The following is a 23774-nucleotide window of genomic DNA, read 5'->3' on the forward strand; positions in this document are numbered from 1 at the left end:
CTGAAAACATCCCCAAACTGGAATGATGCCTTTCTTAAAAACAGCTCATTCTACTAAAAAGTAATGTCAGTTGTAAAAAATTATCTGACACTCTTCTTCCAGAAAGGTGGAAGGATATATGTGGAGAGACAGTCTTCCATTCACAGTTCTAGACAGCAACCACATTTACTCCATATTGACAGCGTCACACCTTTCTCTCCCCTAAACACCTAGAGAAGAGAGATTACTTCTCTTTGATTTCTAACATCTTCCGCAAGATGATTCCAATGAAGTGTTCAGGAAACAGACTGGGCAGAGAAAAGATCGGATGAGTTAATGGGGATAGATTCCCCACCACTACAAAGAAAATAATTGATAGCATCTAACCCTAATAACCTGAATGACAGTATCTTATATAAATTTGAGTTAATAATTCAGCATCCACTTTTCTGTTTAGCAATATCTGCTAAATTCAAAGCAGCTGCTTTCTACTCCCTGTTAGTATTCTTTAGCAAAGCTTCTAGTTAGGATAATCCTTAGGATATATAAACATTTTGGTTTTATTTTTTCTCTTAATACTAACTGGGAAGGTGCATTTTAAAAGTTATACATAACATATATAATATTTTTGTAGTTAGTAATGTGTGGAGTATAATTGTAAATTTTATGTATATGCTACACACCCATAAATGAGACATGTACAAATGCATTGGTTTCAAATCTAAAAGAAACTGGTTTGGGATATTTTGCCTTTTTTTGTTTGTTTTACTTCCAATACTGTTAGCCTAACCCCAATGATCGATTTTCAAATTTGGAAAATTTTAAGAGACTTATCTGTGAGATGTGAAGTCAAAGCTTTTTAATATGCTTAATGACTTGCTTTTGGTAATAGATTAAGATCAGAATGAAAAGTAGACCTTTTCTGTGGCATAATAGTGCCAGCCTGGGGAAATAGAATTATTTCGAGTAGGAAACACACACTATAATTTTAGAGAGATAAAGGTAAAAGATGGCCAGTAAAAGACTAGAAGAGTTCAAAATTAAATATATATGTATTATAGATTACTCATAATATATATAATACTTATAATAATATTTATGTGGGTCCCTTTACTTTAAAAAACTGGTGGATATAAAGTATTGATCTTCCAGAGTCCATTTAAAATTTGATTCCTACACTTGTTTTTCAGAGTGTAGCCATTCATTGTAAAAAATAAAATGCATCTCATCATTTTGCTTGATATTTTAGCTGGGAAGTTATATTTTTATTCTTCCTATTCATTTTCTATGCATGAATATAAACATGACTCAAGTTTGACTGCTGAAAACCAGACACCTAATACCCTTAATTCATTGCCTCACGATGAAAGGTCTGATCATGATGACATCTAGAATCTCATGGGTTCTTATTTGAGATTATGTTTTACAGCTCTAGGTACTTTTCTGCCCTTAGTAACAGAAAAATTTTAAAAATCAGACTTCCTTGTTTTTTTTTTTTTTTTTGAGATGGAGTCTTGCTGTGTCACCTAGGCTGGAGTGCAGTGGCGCGATCTGTGTTCACTGCAACCTCCGCCTCCCAGGTTCAGCGATTCTCTTGCCTCAGCCTCTCAAGTAGCTGGGATTACAGGTACCCACCACCACGCCCAGCTAATTTTTTCATATTTTAGTACAGATGGGGTTTTGCCATGTTGGCCAGGATGGTCTTGAACTCCTGATTTTAGGTGATCCACCCACCTTCGCTTCCCAAAGTGCTAGGATTGCAGGCGTAAGCCACCACACCTGACCCAGACTTCTTAATTGCCCAAACTGGAGCAGGTTAAGGGAGCTATCTTTCCAATCCATGGAGAAACATTATGGCAGAAAAGAGCACAGGAACCTCAATAAACTATCATAAAGTTGCTTTTAAGCTGAAGTTGGGAGAAAATGTTGCTTTCTGAAAGATTCTTAAACTTGCTCATGTTAAAATTCAAGAGAGTCTTTGGTAGGAGAAAGTTGAACGTGTTTAGTGCACATTCACGGATGTTCATAGCAGAGTTGGTATGTTATAAAGACAGTACTGTTAGGAGTGCACCAATTTAGTAGCTGGGATGCTTTCATGGAAACAGAAGCACTATTTGGGGTCATTGTAGGTGACCCTAATGGAATTGTATTTTTGACATCATTTGCTACCTGTGATCAACAAACAATTGATATCCTACTAGAGAATTATTGCCTACTTACTTTGTCTTCTTTGCCTTCTACACAAATACTTCAAAAATTGATTTAGCCACACATAAATGATCAGCCGTTATCCGTTTACAAGTTCTCTAGCCTAAAGCTGCACATGATCAACACTTATCCGTCCATGATTGTGGCAGATAATGTCCATTCCTTCTATATTCCTTAGTCTTTCTTAGTCGAAGAACTAAGCTTGATTCGAGGTGACAATATACTGGCTAAAAAATTACATTTTTAAAAAATCAGTTCTTGCAACTACGTGTGATTCATGAGAATATTTTGGACAATGGTATATAGGTGCAAGTGTTGTATGCCAAGCTGGGAAGGTAACATGGAAAGACTTCACCCAACAAAAACAACTGCCCATTTGTCTTTTTCCATATCCCCTTTCTTACTGCTTGAGAGATGAGTTCATGAGTGCTGGAGCTTCAGCAGACATCTGAAACTATGAACAACACTGAGAATGGAATTGACATTCTAGGACAGCGCTGCAGAAGTAGCCTGGGTCCTTGGTGACTGAAACTTCCATACCAGCTCTGAATTCTTTACCTGTCAACTTACTATGTGAGAAAGACAAAAACATATTTTCAAGCAATTGTTATTTTTATTTTCTATTTTTGCAAGCAAACCGGTAAATAATTGGTATTGCTTAATCATCAAAATGAGTCTTTAAAATTTTGAAATCACATATACAGAGGGACTAAACACTTTAGCAGAGCAGTATAGATTTTTGGAAACATCACTACACGACCTAGTCAAGAGATGTGATTCGAATTGTTTCTCATTAACTCTATGGCCATGTGGCTTTTGGTAAATAACTTTTCCTCTCTGAGCATTGTTTTCTTCCATAAAAGTAGAGATCTGACTCGGTTAGCACTAACATTCCATCTTTGACCTGTTGAGATACCTTGTCCTGACTAAAACGTCCCTTATAACCTTGAGTCTAAAGGCTATGATCAGGAAGAGAACACAATTCCCAAGTCCAGTCGAGATTTACCTTTAATAAGAATTCATGGCTTATGGGATGGGCCTGGTGGCTCACACCTGTAATGCCAGCACTTTGGGAGACCGAGGTGGGCGAATCACGAAGTTAGGAGTTTGAGACCAGTCTGGCCAACATAGTGAAACCCTGTCTCTACTAAAAATACAGAAAATTAGCCAGGTGTGGTGGCAGGCACCTGTAATCCCAGGTACTTGAGAGGCTGAGGCAGGAGAGTCATGTAAACCCGGGAGGTGGAGGTTGCAGGGAGCCGAGATCGCACCATTGCACTACAACCCCAGTGACAGTGCGAGATTCTTGTCTCAAAAAAAAAAAGAAAAGAAAAAAAAAAAGGATTAATGGCCCATGGAGAGGATTAGTAGCTCTATCTCAAAATCTTCCCTGAAGCAAACTTGTTAAAATACAGCTAGTGGTGTTGGCACTGATGACCTTCTCTCTCTCTCCCTCAATCTCCCCAGGAAGCAGTCAACCTAAAATGCAATTACATGCAAAAAAGTTTCAGTCATGGTAATTGGAAGATGATATGGTGGCAGGTGATGTGATAGCAAAAGTCAGTTTCTGGATGTAGGAAGGAATATTGAAAATGTTAGATTCTAGAACAAATCAATATTTCCAACAGTGTGCAATGAAGGGAACCTACCAGGCTACTCCAGCCTGAAAATACCTTGGAAATTTTACAGGAGGTATTTCTTCACTCACTCACACACACACACACACACACGCACACACGTGCGCAAGGAATTATATCAGGATTTATTAGTCCTGAATAAACTTCACTAGCATTGTGAATTTAACGCTAAGACTTTCCCTTCCAAAAGCTTTATTATTTATTTTCCCTTTTCTATTCTCATATATTCATCCAGGAGCTAGGAAGGACTGACAAAAAAAATAGGCAAATGCTCAGCTTTGCTTCTTCCACCAAGATCTGTGATCTGTAGGCAGAAGTGATTCTTATTACCAAAGTGAGTAAAGTTCTTACTCCCTCTAACAGCAGGGAGTGACCTGCTTCAAATGTCAAATGGAACCATGAAAACCTTTTGTCACAGGGCCCTCGTTAAACAATCAATGACACTTCGTCTACTTGAATCCTTGGGGAGTGATGCCGGTATCCTCATGGAAGGGCCCCTTAGATATTCTGTTAGAGGTATTTGGGTCTCAGTAGCTGTTGAGGTGTCTGTGCATCTCTTATCTATCCTTCTAAGAGTGCAGTAACATATGTTATAAATATCCTGTATATTTTATTTTATTTTTTATTTTTGAGTTAGAGTCTCACTCTGTTGCCAGGTTGGAGTTCAGTGGCACGATCTCGGCTCACTGAAACCTCTGCCTCTCATGTTGAAGTGATTCTCCTGCCTCGGCCTCCTGAGTAGCGGGGACTACAGGTGCACGCCACCATGCCCAGTTAATTTTTGTATTTTTAGTAGAGATGGGGTTTCACCATGTTGGCCAGGATGGACTCGATCTCTTGACCTCGTGATCCACCCGTCTCGGCCTCCCAACATGCTGGGATGCTGGGATTACAGGCGTGAGCCACCGCACCCAGGCTATTCTGTGTATTTTATTAGTCCAGAAAAGTAATTATTGTAATAGGAGAAGAAACAAAGTAAATTTAGACGGGGATCAATTTTGTTTATTTTATCACCTTGCCACATCATTTTCTCCAGCTGTAAATCAGGTGGGACAATGGACTCTACCCTCAAGCTAGGAAAGTGTCTCTCATTTCTTCAAAGGACACCTACTTCATTACTTTTTGAATTTGCTTTTACCATTTCTCTTCATTGGGAAAGGCTTTCATTTGCTCTTTTGCTAAAGGAAATCTGCCTCCTCTCTCCCAATTAGCTTAAACAACACCTCTTGCTCATACGTTTCCTAAACTTCCAGTTTTAAAGAGTTGTTCTTTCTTCAGTGACCTTTTAGTGTTTTATGTAGACTGGTGCCCCCCCAACAATATGGTTACTGAGAAACAATAACCATATAAAATTAAAATACACATTCTGGGGGGAAGGGATTATGGGTCAAATATGCTTTGTACAAGCTACATATTATATTCCTTACTTGGTATGTAACAAAACATAAATACGCTCATGGAGTTATGTATTCATTATTTAAATAATTCCTGGGTACCCACAAGCATACGTAGAGCTGGCCTACCTCATTAATTACTATATCTGCAGTGCCTCAAATATACAAATTTTAAAAAGAAAAAAAGTCATATGCTACTGATGGGGTATTGTATTATCTGAATTAAATGGTAAGGAATTATTTACCATGCAGAAATCGTATAAATCTTTTTTTGGTAGTAGGAAACGCTAAATGCTCATTTTCTTAGACTATGAGGCATATCAAAGGTTGAAAAAAGAAAGAAAGCATAGCTTACCTCCTTTTATAAGAATAAAAGAACTAAATAAAAATTTTTTGTCAAGTAAGCCTCTTTCAGGAAATCAAAGGATCAACACAGATTTAATTTCACCTTCTGAAACATCTACATCTGTGGTCTTTTACAATGAGAATGTGCCCAAGGCTTGCTTGACGCTGAAAGTGGCTTCGGAATCATTAAGTGAAGATTTCACCATGTTCCATAGCATTTCTGTTAAGTGCACTTTATTGTTCACTAACTTGTTGAAAACTGGAATTGCCATACAGCATACCATGTAGTTTACTTGACTATTCAATAAACCATAACACTCCATTTTCAACCCTTCTGAATAATCGATTTTTTTTTTACTAGAACATACTTATACAAGTGGTGATGGTTCTCAAAAAATCATGTGGATTTAATTTCATTCTGTCCTGGAAAAGTATCTTTTCACTTTAAGAAGTTCCTGGCTGTGTCCATGTAACGGACTCAGCACTGCAGCTGTGTTGTCATTGTGCATTCTACTGAGACACGAGATGATTGAAGGTGGCTAGGAAACACAAGGAGCTCTGATAATGGGGAAAGTTTGGCAAGTAGAAAGCAAAATGTGAAAAGCAGAGAGAGAATATGAAATGTTAAAAATAGCTTTTTCTTTTATTTTCATTTTGTGACTACAGAGTGATGGTTGAGATTCCCCTTTTGCACAGACAGACCTCCGGCCCAGTAGTCCCCAACTGTGACAATGTTCCTCCACCCCCAATACCACGCACACATGAGGTGATAATTTGCATTGCTGGGAGAACTATTTGGTTTTGACAACTGGGGAATATGCTACTGGCATCTAGGCCAGGGTACTGCCACAGAGCCTACATTGCCCTGGATGGCTCCTGTGGCCCCCACAACAAAGCATTACCTAGCCCAAATGTCAACATCACCAAGTTTGAGAAATCCTGCTCTACAGAGATTTGACATTTATATTGCTAGCAAAATACCTCAAAAGTCAACCTTTAGTGTTTGGTAAGCCAAACTTCTATGTATGAGATGCTGGCTCTTGAGGCCTGGAAGAAGTCTAGGATCATATTTAATCAATATAAAAAGGATTAATAAAAATCTTACTCTGTTTAGTTTTTGTCTCCTAATATATGGTTGTCTATAGGGATTAATCCTAGGTTACTGACCGGCAAGAGTTCATAGACAATTAAGATTAGGAAGGAGGCGGAGAGGTCATAAAAATTATATTTCTCCTTTGCTTTTCTCTGTTACTCTAGGTAAGTGTATGCTGATGGTTTCTGGGATACCACGTTGGGATGGAAAGGCCTTCATTGTATTATGTCATTGAATGCTGTGGGAATATGGAAAAAAGTATTTCTCTAATCTACAGATGATCTCAGAAAGCCTCGTTACATACTACACACACACACATGCAACCCCTCCCATACTTATAACTAAGATGTCTATTTAAGCAAATAGCACCAGACAAAATAGCAATGTATATTAGCATGGAATGTGCAACTTTCATTTTGTAGGTATTTCATCTTAACCCTGTGATGTGTCTTGGGATCGTAAGATTAGCGTCATTTTTCTGGGTAGAGAAACAGTCCTGAGGAGTTTGTCTAGCTTGATGAGAACTGCATGTTACTGCTATTTTTGCAGCTATTAACCATAAGACAAAATTTGCAGCTTCTTCCTTATTTTCCATGTTCCATAAAAAAATGGGATGAGACAAGTTCTAAGTGATAGTCTATCTCTATTCCTGAGCCTAATATTTTCAAAATATGAGGTGTGTAAGATAACTAGGTTTCCCCACTGTCGCCTGGCAAAATCATCATCATCGTCATCATCATCATCATCATCATCATCATCAGTAACCATAGACTTATATGGTTTCCTCTCAGATATTTTATTTTAAAAAAAGTTCCTTTCATCTAGAAATTCTGACCACACCTTGATATTGCAATTCCTTGTTCATATTGGTCTGGATCAGGCCATATTACTTCTCTTGAAGCTAAAAGGATCCTGTGTTCTGATTGGTCAACTTGGACCAGCATCTGGATTCTGAAGTACAGCCATGTCTCCCTAAACCGCAGGAATTCAGGGATGAGAAAAGGTGGTTCCTCAGGCAAATCTGGGAACTGTAACCAAGAGAAAGGTACACATATGCTAGATGGGCACAAACAGTGAGTATGACAATAATATTTCCACCTATAACAGGTTGTTGCAAAAATACATGAGATTATATGTACATATAAAATACCACATATAACAATACCCACTACATATAAAGATTTAGTAAAGCAATAAGCATTATTTTAAACATATGCTATAACAAATATAACTTGCGATCCACACACAAAACTACTTGGATTTCAAGAAAATGGTTACAAACCACTCACAGAATGCTGAAGGTGTTTGGTGTTATGTAATTAGAGAGATGAAAAGTGAAGGAAAAAAGAGTTGCAATAATTGATGATAACTTCCATCATGAGTAATTTAAAGTTGTGTATAACTCCAGATTTTAAGCTAATTCAAGATTATTAGTTATCTCTCAGTAGTTTGGAATAAATTAATAAAAATTAAATTACCCCCAAATTAGAATTCCTGCCCAACCATCCTATGTGAGCAGAGATGATATCTAGAAAGGAGATAAGTATAAATCAAAGGGAGTGATGTTTCAAAGAATAAGCCCGAAATGGTTCTTCAATGATTTTCCCTTTTGGGTGATCCATATCAATAAAGCTTAATAAGAACTAAGAGTGAAATTACTACTAACTGTGAACTTAATAATGCCCCACTGGGAGTTCATTAATATCTCAACAGGTACACTGAAGCATTATCTTAATTGCACATGATACTTTCAAAAATTCGCCTTTTACAAGTTTTGTGGAAACTACCCTCTAGAACTAGCATTAGTGAATTTTGTTTTGCCTTTCTGTATTGCAGTTTTGTACTGCCCACATATGCAAATCCCCCAGGAACAAATGAACCACATTCGCCTTCCAAAAAGTAAGATACTCCTCAGGTGACTGTCCTTGCTACAGGCAATGTGTTTATAATACAAAGCAGAATACAATAAAGAGAGGAAGAATATAATATAAAAAAATATACTGAGAAAGAATGTAATATAGAGAAAAAAATATAATATACAGAGGAATAATACAAAAAGGGAGGAAGTTAACATGCATGGAAACAATTTCAGAACTTTCATTGTGTTCTGAATAAATAAAATAATTTCCTTTATGTAAATATTTAGAAATTTATTTTTATGAGAACTAAGCTTGCAGTGGAGCAGTGGTGGAAATTTGGATTTTTAAACATTTCTATTAATGTTTTCTAGAAGACATCTGTACTTGAGTCTTCAGTGACAATTATTGACAGTAAGATGATGCCTAAGGGAGTATGTTTCCAAGCCTAGGAGATCCTTCTGCCTAGTAGCAGTTTACTATGTAATAATTATGGGATAAAATTAAACTTGACTCAATCTTGTCAACATTTAGAAAGTGAAAGTGCGTCATACATGCATAATATTTCTTTTTTTATTAGAAATGACATATAATTATTTTCTCTGGATTTAATATATTATTTTTATTCATTTTTTTTTTCTATTTTAACTTGGCAGTAGTAATGTTAACATCAAGTAAAATGAGGACCCAAGACCATAAACACTGTATTTGCTATGTGGGCCTGGCAGCCTGGTTCCTGAGGGGAGAGGAGTTAAGGAAAAGGCAGGGCAGAAACTGCCTCTTTAAAATGACAAATCCTAGTTATGTCTGGCAAAGTTTGAATCCTGAGGCATCATAGTTTATGTTGCCTAGGTTGTCAGGAACTAAGGCCTAAGAAAAAAAAACAAAAACAGAGTGAGCAGCTTCCTAAATGACTTCCTTGGTCTCTTTACCTTTGATCTTCCATCCAAATGATAGCTTTCTTTCTCCTACATTCCCCAAAAAAGTATGCCGAGGAAAAGAAAAGGTGAGAAAAAGTATTTGCCCTGGAGCCTAAAGCAGCCCATCAGAGACCTACCCAGGACAAGAAAAACTCCCAAATACTGTGAGTGTCTCTGGCCACACCAACTTTGTGGATGAGGAGCAGGTCAAAGAAATCTGTTCTCTTAGCTTATTCCATTTTATCCATTTCCTGGCATGCCCATTTCTTCAATGAATACTGATCCGTTCCTATGCTGTTCCCAATAGAGTGGTATCCAATGGGGAAACAATGATGAGCAAGGTCTTTTTCTTCCATAAGGGTAAATACTCTCAAGGAATGGGGAGAAGAATAAACAGATAATGATACAGATAATTGTTTAATTAGAACTGTGGCACTTGTTACCAAAGAAAACTACCATGTTCCAGAAGAACCCATCAATTGACCTTCCTCTAAATTCACTGTGCTTTCTGGGGCAAACATTGTAGAGGTTAGGGCAGAGCCTTGAGCACCTTTTAGTGATTAATGTGTGCTGTTTATTGGATATAACTTAACTTTTGATCATTCTTTCAGTCAACCAAAATAATTCAACCACCACAATACATTTTATTGATGAGATATGAATATTTATGTCTCAAAGGTATATATAGGTTGTATATGATATGTTATTTATGTGTCCATTTTAACTATTCTTGAAATTGTTTTTTCCCCTAGCATTGTTTCTCCTAGAGTTACAGGAATTCTTAGAACCATAAATTTGCATAAATATTTTAAAGGTAAAATTAGAAACCGAGAATTGGGCACTTTTTTTCTATCTTGAAAGTAAGATCTGAATTTGGGAAAAATTACATCTGATGACTTGAAAGAGTATGATTTTTATTGCTGTTTTTATTCCCTGTTTGCTTGTTTATTTTTAACAATGGCCAGGAAAGTTGACTTCAACATAAAATTTATATGATAATTTTGAGGCATGAGAATTGCTCTCAAACCTTGATTACTTGAAATGAGTTTTCTGTCTTGTCATCAGTGTCACCTGACTAGTGCCTTGAGAGAAATAATTGGAGAGATTGAGAAGATTTGAGTTGAGAAAAAAACTTGGGGGAGAGAGATGCTTTCACAGCTAGTTGGAGACCCACATAGAGAAGTGGAATTAGTTTGGCATCTAACTGTGAAAGGCAGAAAAAGCAGAGAGGATTATGGACATGCAGGTGGTGGTGGCCCAATATTTGGAGTGGTGCAATTCAGGACCAGAAAAACCCACATAATGTCTTCTCTTCATTGGAACGTCATTAAGAAGGAGTGTGAATGCCATATAGACTCCTGGAGAAATAAATACATGCCATTTTAGCTAATAAGTCAAATTACTGTCAGTTCATTCAAACTGAGAAATAACATAGTAACTTGAAGACAACACATCAGAGAAGACTGAGCTTCTTTAAGAAATGTAAATGTAAATATTTTATACATTAATAGTGAATTTCGTAAGACATCCAAGTGCATGAGATAATATCTATGTAGTGGTAGAAGTAAAAATATTCCTGTGTTTCTATAGATATAATTTTATATAAAAATGCATAAAAGTGATAATGACATGCCAGTAAATATTTTTTGTTCTTAAAACACTGGCTATTCACTTGGCTATCTACTCAAAAACAAAAAACAAAATCAAAGTCCTAGCCCATAACAGATAATATATATTAAGTAGATCCTAGATGCATTAAAATGTTTAAAGATCAGTTATGCAAATATATAATCATAAACTGTAGGTGACAATATGCCCAATCAACAAGACGTTAGACCCTTTTTATCACTGAGAGCTAAGAAGCTATAGATGTGGTAGATCTTCTATAGATAAAGTAGATCAGAAGAAAATGTTTTTGTATATCAAAGATACCATGAATAATACTAATAGTTACATATTCCTCTTTCACATTAAAATAAATACATAATCACTTTATAGGCATACTGGTAGACATGAAAAGAAGGTTCTTTGTACTTTATTTAAGCAAAGAAGAGTGAGAAGTTAAAATATTAAATAAATAATGGATTTGGTAGTATGAATATATTGTCGTGTTCATTAATGTGTTACAGCATGTGGGAAAAAAACAGACACATTTGCAAATGACTAAAGATTGAAAAATACTGGCATAAAGTTTAGTTTTTTTTCACAATTTCTTTAAATCAGCAAAAGGAAAATTAATTTAGATATACATTACATTATTAGTAAACTGTAAATATATGTTACCATATATCTATATGGTAAGCCTTCATTTATAAAAGCAATGGAGACATTTATTAAATTCAGTGAAAGAAATCACAGGAAGTGCAGAATAGATTCCTAAGATGTGTTCTGTTGTTTGTACACATTTAGACTTAGCTGCTCATTAAGACCCAAAAAGATATTAAAGGCATACAATGACAAGTGTAGGCACATTATAGATAATTAACTACTACTGTTAAGTTTGACCAAAATTTCACCTTTACTATATTTTTTTAGTTTTTCTATATTACTATATATAGTATATATCCTACTTTATAATATATAGTACATTATATAATATTATATAATGTACTATATTATACTCTATAATATAATATACTATATATTATACTATATAGATACTATATGAACCTCTTAAAGGATTAAAGGCTATAGGTATTTGATTTTCTTAATTGGTAAAGAGAGAAAGAAAGAACACCACAGAGATTTGGACGTTTTGTCATATTTTCTTTTTACGGTACTGAACACCTCAAAGATGCTGGAAATAGTTGGTTCTACAATGATATTAGAATGATCACAACATCTAGCATAACACAGCAACACACAGCATTCAGAATTTGTAAATTAATCTGAAGCATCAATATAAAAATGAAAAACTTAGTTTTAATTACTGCTTAAAGTTATTTAGTTAGAGAAGCAAAAAGGTCTGTAGCATTCTAAAAAGTACTGATTTAAAAAATGCCTAGGGGAAATTTTGATTTTGTAGAGGAGACACCTTGGATGTTTGGAAATGTATTGCACATATGAGAGCGTGAATTCATGCATAGATCTTTTCTCTGAAAGAATGGAATACCTTATAATAAATTATCTTCAAGGAAATAAATACATTTTCTTCTCCAAACAGGATTCTAGATCAATGTATAGTTTAGAGTGATATGTCGATACAGCTGATTATAAAGATACTTTCATAGGTGATGAGTCAGCAGAGGTTTAGAAAAGAAAAACTCCTTGATATTGGCCTTGGCAATGATTTTTTTGAACATCACACTGAAAGCTCAGGCTACAAAAGCAAAAATAAATAAATGAGGCTTCATCAAACTAAAAAGTTTCTGTATAGCAAAGAAAACAATCAATGATGTAAAGAGACACCTAAATACAAGAAAATATTTGGAAACCAGTATCTGATAAGGAGATAATATCCAAAATATACAAAGAATTCACACAAATCAAAATCAGGAAAACAACTCAATTAAAAAATGGGGAAAAGATCTGAATATACATTTCTTCAAAGGAGACCTACAAATGGCCAACAGGTACATGGAAAGGTGCACAACAGCAAGGAAATGCAAATCAAGACCACAATGTGATATTGCCCCACATCTGTTATGGTGGCTATAATCAAAAAGACAAAATATAAGAAGCATTGGTGAGGATGTGTAGAGAAGGTCCCCCTTGAATAGGTGATAAAAGGTTTTGGATGTCTCATCTTTCTCATGAGAGAGAGTGAGAAGTTATAAGACTAAAGGTAGGTAGTATGTCAGAAAAAACATGAAGTGGTTGAGTATTCCAAGTAAGGGGAGAGAAAGGCTTAACCAGGATCACACAATGCAGGAGGAAAAACATGTTATAAAGGAAGGGAAAAAAATGAATTGTAAGCCATTCTAACCAGAATGATGTTTTCTTAAAGGGGAATTGTAGCACAGGGCTTACGAGTAAAGGATTTAGAGATGTGCTTAAAGTGAATTCCAGATTTGCCACTTACTTATACGTAACCTTCAAAGTGGTTCTTGATCTCTCTGTGTCATAGGTTCTTTATTTGTAAAAACAGAAATTGTGTTAATGTGCTGTTGTGAGGATTAAAATAAAATAATGTATTACAGCTCTTAGCATGATGTTTCACACATGGGAAGACACTAAATTATAATTTATAATATTATCATTATTTTGTTATTGTTCATAGAATAGCTTTACCTGGATATCCTGAGGAAGTACGGTTCTGTGTCTCAAGTAAAAATAAGAGCATCCTATATCAATAGCAAATATAAAGAAAATGCTTTCAAGAAATGTGGTGGTAGATGGTGACACAGAGACTGTGTAAGGGTCCCCACGGTATTTTTGAAGCAAGTCATAAACTTATATAGAGAGGGAGACTTTGGGCCATATGATCTAGGAGTTCCCTTTCAATTCTAAAAGTGTCCTTCTAAATCTAAAGAAATGTCCTACAAGTTCTAGCTAAGACTTTATATTGACAAAATAAAAATTTAAAGATAAGCTTCTTAATTTAACTATATATTTGTTTCAAGATAAGAAATTAGAATGATACTAGTTGGTTTTTAATTGCTCACTGTTCAGAAATAACAAAAGGGAAAGGAATTTTTCCTATTATCACTCTTGTTTTTCTGGAAACTCTAGCTGAAGTAATTAGAAAACTAACTGAATCATTATAACTTGCTTACATGGAAATCCCAAGAAAATAAACTAAAAGCTATTACAACTAAAAAGAATTATAACAAGGGTAGAAGACAAAAAGAAAATCTACAGAAATTAATAGATTCCTATATGGCAGCAATAAAGAGATAACAAAATGAATATTTTGTCTCATACATAATGCAATGAAAATAATTATTTAGAAACAAAGTTAAGGAATGTGCAAGGTTTACATGGAGACAATTATAAGATTTTAGGAAGAGCAAGAATGAACAACCAAATAGATAAAAGTAGATAATTTCCCATGCGGGAAGATAAAATGTTGTAAATATTTAAATTCTACCCAAATTTATTTATAGCTATACTATGATTCTCATTAAAATCTTAATGGAATTTTATTGTTAACCTAAAAATAATTATCCTAAGGCTAATAAGGAAAATTAAAAACGTGATTATCCATGATCATGTTTAAAAGGACAGCTATGAAGAGGGAGTATGCTACAACTAAGATAGCCTCAAAATACTCTAAGCTCATAACAGCTAAAATAGTAAAACACTGGCCCAAGACTTGAAAAAAAAAATCAAATAGTAGAAGATACACCCTGAAGACCTAAGGATGTTTAAGAATTTAATATAGAACAAAAGATGTTCTTTTCTGTCATTAAAGAATTATTAATTAATAAATGGTGCTAAATCAAGTAGTTAACCATTTGGAAGGAAAAAAGTATAGATTACTGTTCTTTTGTATTTAAAAGTCCAAAGTAATTTCCATGTAGGGAAAGATTTAAATGTAAACCTCAAATATTTTTGTTACTTTGAGGTAGAGCGACTTAAACATTATTGTGAGGAAATACTCATGAGTATGTATAAAGGCTTGCATTAGCTCTGAGGATTTTGTTTTGACTTATAATGACAGTGAAAACTTGAAAAGGTTTAAATATTTAACAATGAATGTTAGGCTTAGGTTAGGTCAAATATTCATACAGCAGAATATTATGCAACCAGAAAGAAAGAGAGAAAAGAAGGGAGGATGGAAGGAAGGGAAGGGGAGACTAAGACCCATATTTTAATAATAAATAATATTTATAAGCTCATAGCAATAATTAATAACTATATATGTGTAGTAGTCTGCTTTCACACTGCTATAAAGAACTGCTTGAGACTGGGTAACTTATAAAGGAAAGAGCTATAATTGACTCACAGTTCAGCATGGCTGGGGAGGCCTCAGGAAACTTACAATCATGGTGGAAGGCGAAGGGGAAGCAGGGCACCTTCTTCACAAGGCGGCAGGAAGAAGTGACAAGCAAAGGAGGAAGAGCGCCTTATAAAATCATCAGGTCTTGTGAGAACTCAATCACTATCACAAGAAGAGGGTGAGGGAAACTGCTCTCATGATCCAATTGCCTCCACTTGGTCTCTGGAGATGTGGAAATTACGGGGATTATGTAGATTATAGTTCTTGATGCAATTTGGGTGGGGATACAAAGCCTAACCATATCAGTATCTGTGCATAACCAAATATACACACAAAGGCAATAAGAAGGTACAACAAAATGTTGACAGGGATCAAGGTATTAAAATTAACCTGTTTTCTTGTGTTTGTTTCTCTACATTTTTATAAATAGCATATGTTGTTAATTTTCATTAAAACGCATACACTTATTTTAAATAGGTTATAGATGTTTTTAAATCCTATTTGAAACTCATTAACAAAACCATTCCTGTGCAATAGCCAAATTTTTATGAGGAGAAAAGAATAATAAGATGACAATATGGTCCTGTGATACAGATTAAAAATATTTTAGTTTTCTAAGTTCAAGAAAAAAGGCCTAAGAAGAGATGGAATCTCTCTTTTTATATAGCTGCAGTGTTATCACACTAAATTGCCTTTATCAAAAGATCAAGTCTCCATTTCCAAAGAAGACTGGCAAGAGAGAAAAGGTCCAATAGCAGCAAGAGAAAGTATATCTAGATATTTGAGTGAAAATGGAAGTTAATTGCTAAAGATGCCTAATTATCATTTGATCAGTTGTAGGTACCAGTAGTAGCACGCAAAATAATAACTATGTAGGCTTTAACATTAACTTGAAAGCAAGTAACTAAACATGAAGCATAATAGCCAGGACAATAAGCAACATCATTTTTCACAGGTTACATAAATTCTTCCAGTCCTTCACCTCTATTGCTACAAGGGATATCCTTATAAAGCCGTATTTTTATCTCAGAATAAAATCCTTTTTGTCTTTCATTCCTTATTCTTGCATCATTATATTCATAGTGTCAAAATAAGTACCATTGGATAGAGGGTATACACATGATCCTAAAGAGAAATATGGGTCTTAAGCCAGGAGATATTCCTTATTTACACCGGAAGGGATAGACCACAGATAGTAACCATTTTCAAAGGGTGCACAGTAATGAGGAAAGAAATCTGTTTCCTCAGGATTTTCATTACTAAAATATGGGGCATGGTGTAGAAAATGCATTGCATTGGGGCACTTCACAATTCTGATGTTTTACAGTAGCTACATAAATGCAAATTCAAGGAGAGGGCTGGATGTATCTTTATTAGCACCCTTTCAAAGGTACAGAGGGATTTTGGCAGGAAAGGCATCTGCGCAACAGCATGAAGCTTTTACATTTCCACAAGTTGAAATTGATGGAAATGCATTGACATGTTTGGCTTCTTTCCTTTTCATTTCTTGTGAGGGAAAGCCTCTCTCTCTTTCTCCCTCTTTTCCTCCCTCTTCTATTTTTCTGTCCAAAGCCTTTATTCAGTTGATATTTTTGTTACCTAAAACTTATAATCTCCAAACTACAATCGACACGTAGGTAACTCATTCTATAAAGATATTTGTATGGGCTTTACTGAGGCGCTTATATAAGGTGTTTGAACAGCAGTCTGAGAGTGACCAGTAAAATAACTTTTAGTGGCTATGTAGTCAGTGATGTGAACAGAAGTCAGCCTGGATTCCATTAATCTACTGGCCTTCCTTTTTAATGCTTATTTAAAAAATATTTTAGTAATAATTCAGCAAAGCATCGTACTTGTGAGTGTTTATAGCTTTGTGACCTGAGGCAAGGTAATATTCTTCCAAGCCTCAATTTTCTCCCTTGTAAAACAAGTTAATAATACTATAATATAGTCTAATGTAATATTGTACAGTCCGGTTCAGAGTATTTGCTGACAATTAGATAAGGCAATGCATATAAAACTTTTAGAACATGACTGGTACAAAATAAAGAGTTGGATAAACAGTACATATTACTTTGAAAGCAGTAATGAAAGGAATATGTAAAAACATTTTATTGCCATAGGACAGTGTGGAGAATGTTCGTGATGACGTGCAGCAGAGGACTTGAAAGTCAAATGTGGGGAATCGATAACTTTAGTAAGGAAAAACATACCATTCTTTATTTTCGATGATTATTACTCCCATGTATTAAGCACTCCTCTGTTCCAGGCATCGTGCAAAGCAATGCACATTCATTTTCCCTGTTTCTCAGAACTTGATCTTAGTGATGTAACCAACTCATTCAAGTGAAATAGCTTCATCAAATTAAACACTAGCAAACAGAAATGCCAGACTCTGATCCTACATCTTGTCAATACCAAATCCTATTTTACTTGCATTAAACCTCACTATAATTGACAAGTTGCTCAGGTAGAAGGACCCATCAGGAGACATGCAGGCTTTCTCACACTGGCTTTGAATTAAGTCAGGGGCAGAAAGCCTGCCCTCCAATGGTCATAGAGCAGAAGTGCATCGTGGACAGGCTGCATGGAAAATGGTGGGTCGTCTGATTTCAGGGCCACAGGACTTAACTCTAATGCTGACCTAGAAATGTTGGTGGAGAAATGATTTTTACGGAGGCGATAACTAGCCTTAAACTATGGCAAATGGGTATACTTTAGGCAAACTACAAAGGAAGGAAATAAATGGGTTAATAGTGAGTAGAGTTTTCAGGGCTCGAGGAATCAACTTGAGCGTGGCTTTACCATATTTGAGCTACACTGGACTTTTGGGCTTGGTCTGAGAAAAGATCAACTGGCCTTTGGACACCCGAGAAACCTTTTGTGATAAAGCAGGGATAAGACCTGGGAGAGTTTGTAAGCAGAATTTTGTCAGAGTTGATCATTCTTACGTGAAAATTAATTGTATCACTCATTTTCTATTGCTTGATAGAATCAAGACAAAGAAGGGAACAAATGTTACGGTGCTTTGAAGAGGTAACTAGCATAGGAGTTCTGAAGTTAGGGACTAAGCCAGATTTCTCATCTGTGATTACTTCAGGGCTGGCCTTAGGCTACCTGAAATCCCAGGCAGACATTTTTTTGCAGCTCTTTCCATGTATATAATTTAATTTAGCAAAGTAGATGTGTTAGGACTACTCACATAGCCCAATTTCCAATGATGCTAAGAAATAAATACTACAGCAGATGAGGGAGATAATGTGATTTTTTTTCAAGGGGCCTGTGGAGTCCTAAGATGATCCTTATAGGCAAAAGTTCTAGAGCTCTTCAGGACATTTGGTGAATGCCATGTGGGGTAGAGGTCAGAGGGTTCCCTGAAGGGAAAAGATAGAAATCAGAGGCCCTTGTGGCCTCCACTCAGACAGTACTGCCAGCTCTCTCCCAGAATCCAAAAGAGAATTTGGAAAATTTTGAGGAAAGCCTGTCAATGTGCAAAGACCACTAGAGTAAATGCCAAGGGGGTGGGGAATTTCTCTTCCCTGGGGCAAAGGGTATTACAGAGCTACTTTAAAATGTTCTTGTGAAGAATAAATTAGATAATGCTTGTGACTTACTTAGCTATTTCCTTGGAGACTATCCACAATCAATCGATGTTAGATGGCTAATGATATCCACCCAGTATTCACAAGCTGTGCTAACTAAACCAATCTTTATATACACTCCAGCCAGGTTGTTGTATTTTTATTTCTATTGGTTTATAAGTAGTAAAGCATGATTCACCATGTTTGGTAGAATGGTCATAAATCTTTTTCTTCTAAACAACCATGACCCTGACCTTGGAATTCCCATGCTAACCTCCTTCCCTTATTCCTAAGACAAGGAAATAAAAAGGCAAGACGCTGAAGTCAATACTTTTGTGCTGCGAAGAAGTAGATGGTTGCATTTAGGTGGTCTAAAATTACATGGTGGTGTTTGGCAAAACATGTATCTCCTTTGCAGCTCAAACCCTGTATTTTAAGTAAACTGTCATAAGTATAAATGAGTCTCTTACATCCTGACGGTGCACTCTCACGTGGTGCTTTCTTGTCTTTGCAGATCCCCCAGATTAGTTATGCATCAACGGCACCCGAGCTAAGTGATGACCGGCGCTATGACTTCTTCTCTCGCGTGGTGCCACCCGATTCCTTCCAAGCCCAGGCCATGGTAGACATTGTAAAGGCCCTAGGCTGGAATTATGTGTCTACCCTCGCATCGGAAGGAAGTTATGGAGAGAAAGGTGTGGAGTCCTTCACGCAGATTTCCAAAGAGGCAGGTAGGATGAGATTGCTCTGATCAAGCTGGCTCTCTTCAAACGTCTGTGGCTTGTAGAGTTCTCTTCAAACTTCATTAAATAAACACTACAGACTCTTACATTCCCAGAGTCCTGTGAAGTACACCTGTGATGTCTTCATCTGTATGACTTTGTTGTTTTTGGAGAGATTTTTGAAGTTGTGAAACTGAGATCCCTTGAGTACTAATAGAATAAATGAAGAAAAAAAAATATGTACTAAAGTTAATATCTTACTTCTGCCTAATGGGTAATAGGATAGATTCTAGCCTGTGTATGAAAACGTGGGAAAATGTGGCTGGATGTACCTCCCCATGAAGACTCTTCCTCTCTGCCTCTCTCCAAAATGGAGAGAATAATTTAGAATTACGTGAATGCAATCACTGTGCCAACTTTGATTTGAAGAATACCTGGAATTCCTCTGAATGACTTGGCCAAAACAAAATTAAATAAATTATCCAGGCAGTAGAATGTATTTAGACAAACAGTCTTTCAAACTTGAGATTATTTTGAGAGAGTTCTCTTCAGCAGCCCTTGGAGAGGATTCTCTTACGTTTGTTTATTTAGCTCAGATTGGAAGTAATGGGTTCAAATGTTTGGCCAGCTGTCTTCCAGTGGGCAGATTTTGAAAAATGAGACAAAATTCTTACACTTAGAAATTCTGACAATAAGTATTCAGGTTTCCCCATATGGATGTATTGGATATGGTAAATACATACCAATATGCATGCTTAGATATTCCCACACTCTTCTTATGTTGAAATGGGTGCTCAGTGTTGTTTGTAAGCATTTCATGCAATTTAAAGTGTTATTTACCAGAACAGTTTACTGACCATAAAAGCAAACAAACAAGCAAAGCAATAGAAAGAGAGCTCCATGTTATGAGGAAAGATGTCATAAATTGTGAAGATACAGCTTTGAGTATTTGACGGTCAGACTACAGATATACTCAGAAATAAAGCGCTTCCGGATACGGATGATGCTAGAAGAGAGAAACTAGGACTTGTTTATAAATCTCATGTTTTTAATTCACTGCATCATTAGCTGTAATTTCAAAACTTCACAGGAGATCTGTGAAGATCTGTGAGATTCTTATTCTCTTCCTTCTGACTTAACAAAGCTGACTAAATAGCTTCTAATCATTGTCAAGTCTCGCTCTAACCACTATTTCTGGGTTAAAATGCAACACTCGGAAAAACTTCCTTTGTTTTGTTGGCTTGGTCTTAAACTTCTAGTGTCTTCTCCCACAGCGCCTATCACAGGTTAGTATAATTTCCTATTTGTTTGTTTTTCTATCTAATCTTCATGACTATAGGAGACCATGTCTGTCTCATTTTCTACTATGGCCCCAGGTGCTACATTCCTAAAGGAAAAATTTAGGCTACAATTCAGTTAGAAACTTTCTGATTAGGAAAGAAATCTTAACTCTGGCCTTGTGGCAGGCTGTGATTTATAGGACTCATTAACTATTGACTTCATAAATCCCCAAAGAGGTATCTAATCATTTTTGATGACTATGTTTTTCTTTCTTTCTTTGTTTTTCTGAATCCTGCCTTGATCAAACTAAGGCTGGAGGCTGACTTAGAAACATATCAAAAATTTCAGGATAGAATTGAATAGATAAAATAAGATGAAAAGAACATATGGGTAAAATAGTAAGATAAAGCTTAGAGACAAAGGGCAGATGCCAGTTTGCACTATATCATTGTTAAAAGTGAGCCTCAAATTTAACACTGAACTTTAAACTGGATGAAGCAAAGGAAGAACACTGCCCATTCTGTTACAGGATTTACAGTGTTCATGAGGTCAAAATCATGTTGATTATTCTGTAAAGTGCAGCTTTCCTTGCCTTGGGATCAAGATAAATGTTTGCTCTGGGTCTTTATAAAAAACTATATTCTATAGACAGGTCAATGGTGACTTTCACATGGTTGTTTATTCCTGGTGTCATTTGATGGAAACTTAAAACATTAATATCTGAGTTTGCTATTATATATAATGACTCTTCAAAAAGGAGATGCTCTTATAATATGATCTGAACTCCCCAGCTCATATTTTTAGCCAATCCTACATTGAAAAGCCCCAGCTAAAAAATAAGGATTCCGTCAGTGGCAGCCATTTTGGATGAAATCTTTCCATCCTAGAGCCTTTCCCCTTGAGGACGGGAGTAGCTAAAAAGCCAGCTGGTGCTGCAGAAATGCAAGGAAACAGTGAATGTTTAGGTGATGTCTTGAAAATTAATACCTCTTCAAGGTATTAATAATAAGTAGTATGGTATTTGGCATGTATTTATAATAAGTATTTAATAAGTATTCTTCTTTTATACATATTATAGTATTTGGCATGTATTTATAATAAGTATTTAATAAGTATCCTTCTTTTATACATATTATGGTATCTGGTACGTATTTATAACAAAATGCATTGGAACTATATCACATGTGCAAGTGATTTAGTTGCATGAACTTATGTGATTAGCAAACACCCCTTCTTTTCAATTAGAAGAAAGGAAGAAAGAAAGATTATTAGCTTAAATGGTGTGGAGTAAGTCTACTCAGTTTTGGTATGGCCTAGAGAAAACATGAAATTCATTCAGTGAGTTTTATTTCTGTGGGCCTCTCATAAGGCGCGCATCTTGCTGCTGCAAAGGTGATTCTGGTATTTAAAGACACACATCCCATGACCTCTAAAAAGAATCCATCTCCTTCCTCTGATGTTCAATTGAAGAAATAATCATATATTCTCATTCCAAAACAATAAGAAAATAAAAGAAAAATTTATCTATTGGAATTTCTGGGCATATACATGGTTAGGGAATTCTCCAAGGTAATTTTATGTGTTCACTTTTTTCTTTACCTGCAGGCTCGAAAAAGTCACCCTCACAAAAGATACAAACCCAATGTGTATGGGTAGGTGAGGCGATATGGCACAAAAATAAATAAGCACACTGGTTATGCTGTCAGAAAGACCTGGATTTGAATGATGGACTCCATCACTCTCTTATTTTAACAATTTTGACACATGCTTTAACTTTTCAAGCCTAAACTTCCTCATAGAAAGAATGAAATTAATGATTTCTGCTTCACCAGATTGGTAGAATGTATAAGATGGTGCATGGGGAAGCATTTAATACCCAACAATATCTGATTACATTGAATCACAATGGCTCCCTATAAATAAGTAGAGTTACTGTTTGAGTCTGAAAACTTTGAAAATAACTTGAGTAATAGATGTTATCTGCCTTGAGTTGTAACTAGAGGGTTATTTTTTAAGCTGTTTCTATTCTTATTAACATGCTGTCATGATGTAAGATGGATATGAAGAAAAGGAAGTGAGCTATTTGCATTGTCCTATGTATGTAGAATATGTGTATGTGTATACATATATGTGTGTGTGTGTGTGTGAGAGAGAGAGAGAGCAAGAAAGAGAGAGGGGGGTGCATAGACTCAATGGCATTGTTTCAGTGTACTGCTGGCAGGTTGGAAGGATTTACTTCCATTGTTTCTGAACAGTTTGACTTTGAAGGTTGTGATTCTTTTCCTCTATAAATGGCCTCACCCTTTTAAAATGCTTTAGCTTCAAAATTTACTTTAGACTTAAATCCTGAGGCAGAGGCTACTTATAAACCAGAGCCTAAAGCATCTCCACCATGCTCACCGTCACAGTGCACCGATAAGCGCCTCTTCATTATTTACTGATAGAACGAACCAAGACAATGATGTCAGAGAAAATAAGCCATCCTTTAACAGAGGCCATGTAATTGTTTAAAACATGGAAGTCTAAGCACATTTTCACTAAACTGTCAAAGACAACCTCAATACTTATTCTTTCAAGTAGAGTCCGGCAGATTTAAATATGTGTGGATACTTTTCCTTGTTGAACTTTCAAAGAGAACTGTAACATGATTTTCTCAGACGATGAGGTTTTGTAAAACAGTTATATTTGCATAAATTGCCCTGTTTATTTGAATGAATGCACATGCAATAGCAACAAAGGCAATTTATTTCTTAATATTGCAGGGAAGGAAAGAAAATCCACTCTCTATGTGCTTTAAAATTCAGGTCAGCAAAAATGACCTAAATTAGACATTTAAAACTCCTTTATCAAAGTGAGGGTCAAGGTAAATGTTTATGA

At 35.7% G+C, this 23774-nt stretch overlaps 1 protein-coding gene across 7 annotated transcripts in view; it reads left to right on the forward strand.

Annotated features, from left to right (window-relative positions):
• GRM7 (glutamate metabotropic receptor 7) overlaps positions 1-23774 on the forward strand; it is an 880419-nt gene that overhangs the window by 265929 nt on the left and 590716 nt on the right. For all 7 annotated transcript variants that reach the window (XR_001740135.3, NM_181874.3, NM_000844.4 and 4 more), the window contains exon 2: positions 19409-19625. Coding sequence is in view for 6 of the 7 variants with exons in the window: in NM_181874.3 (NP_870989.1) it covers positions 19409-19625 (217 nt within the window). In the remaining variant the exon portion in view is untranslated. The remainder of the gene's footprint in view (positions 1-19408; positions 19626-23774) is intronic.

The sequence above is a fragment of the Homo sapiens genome, chromosome 3 (assembly GCF_000001405.40).
Source record: "Homo sapiens chromosome 3, GRCh38.p14 Primary Assembly".
Lineage (NCBI taxonomy): Eukaryota > Metazoa > Chordata > Mammalia > Primates > Hominidae > Homo > Homo sapiens.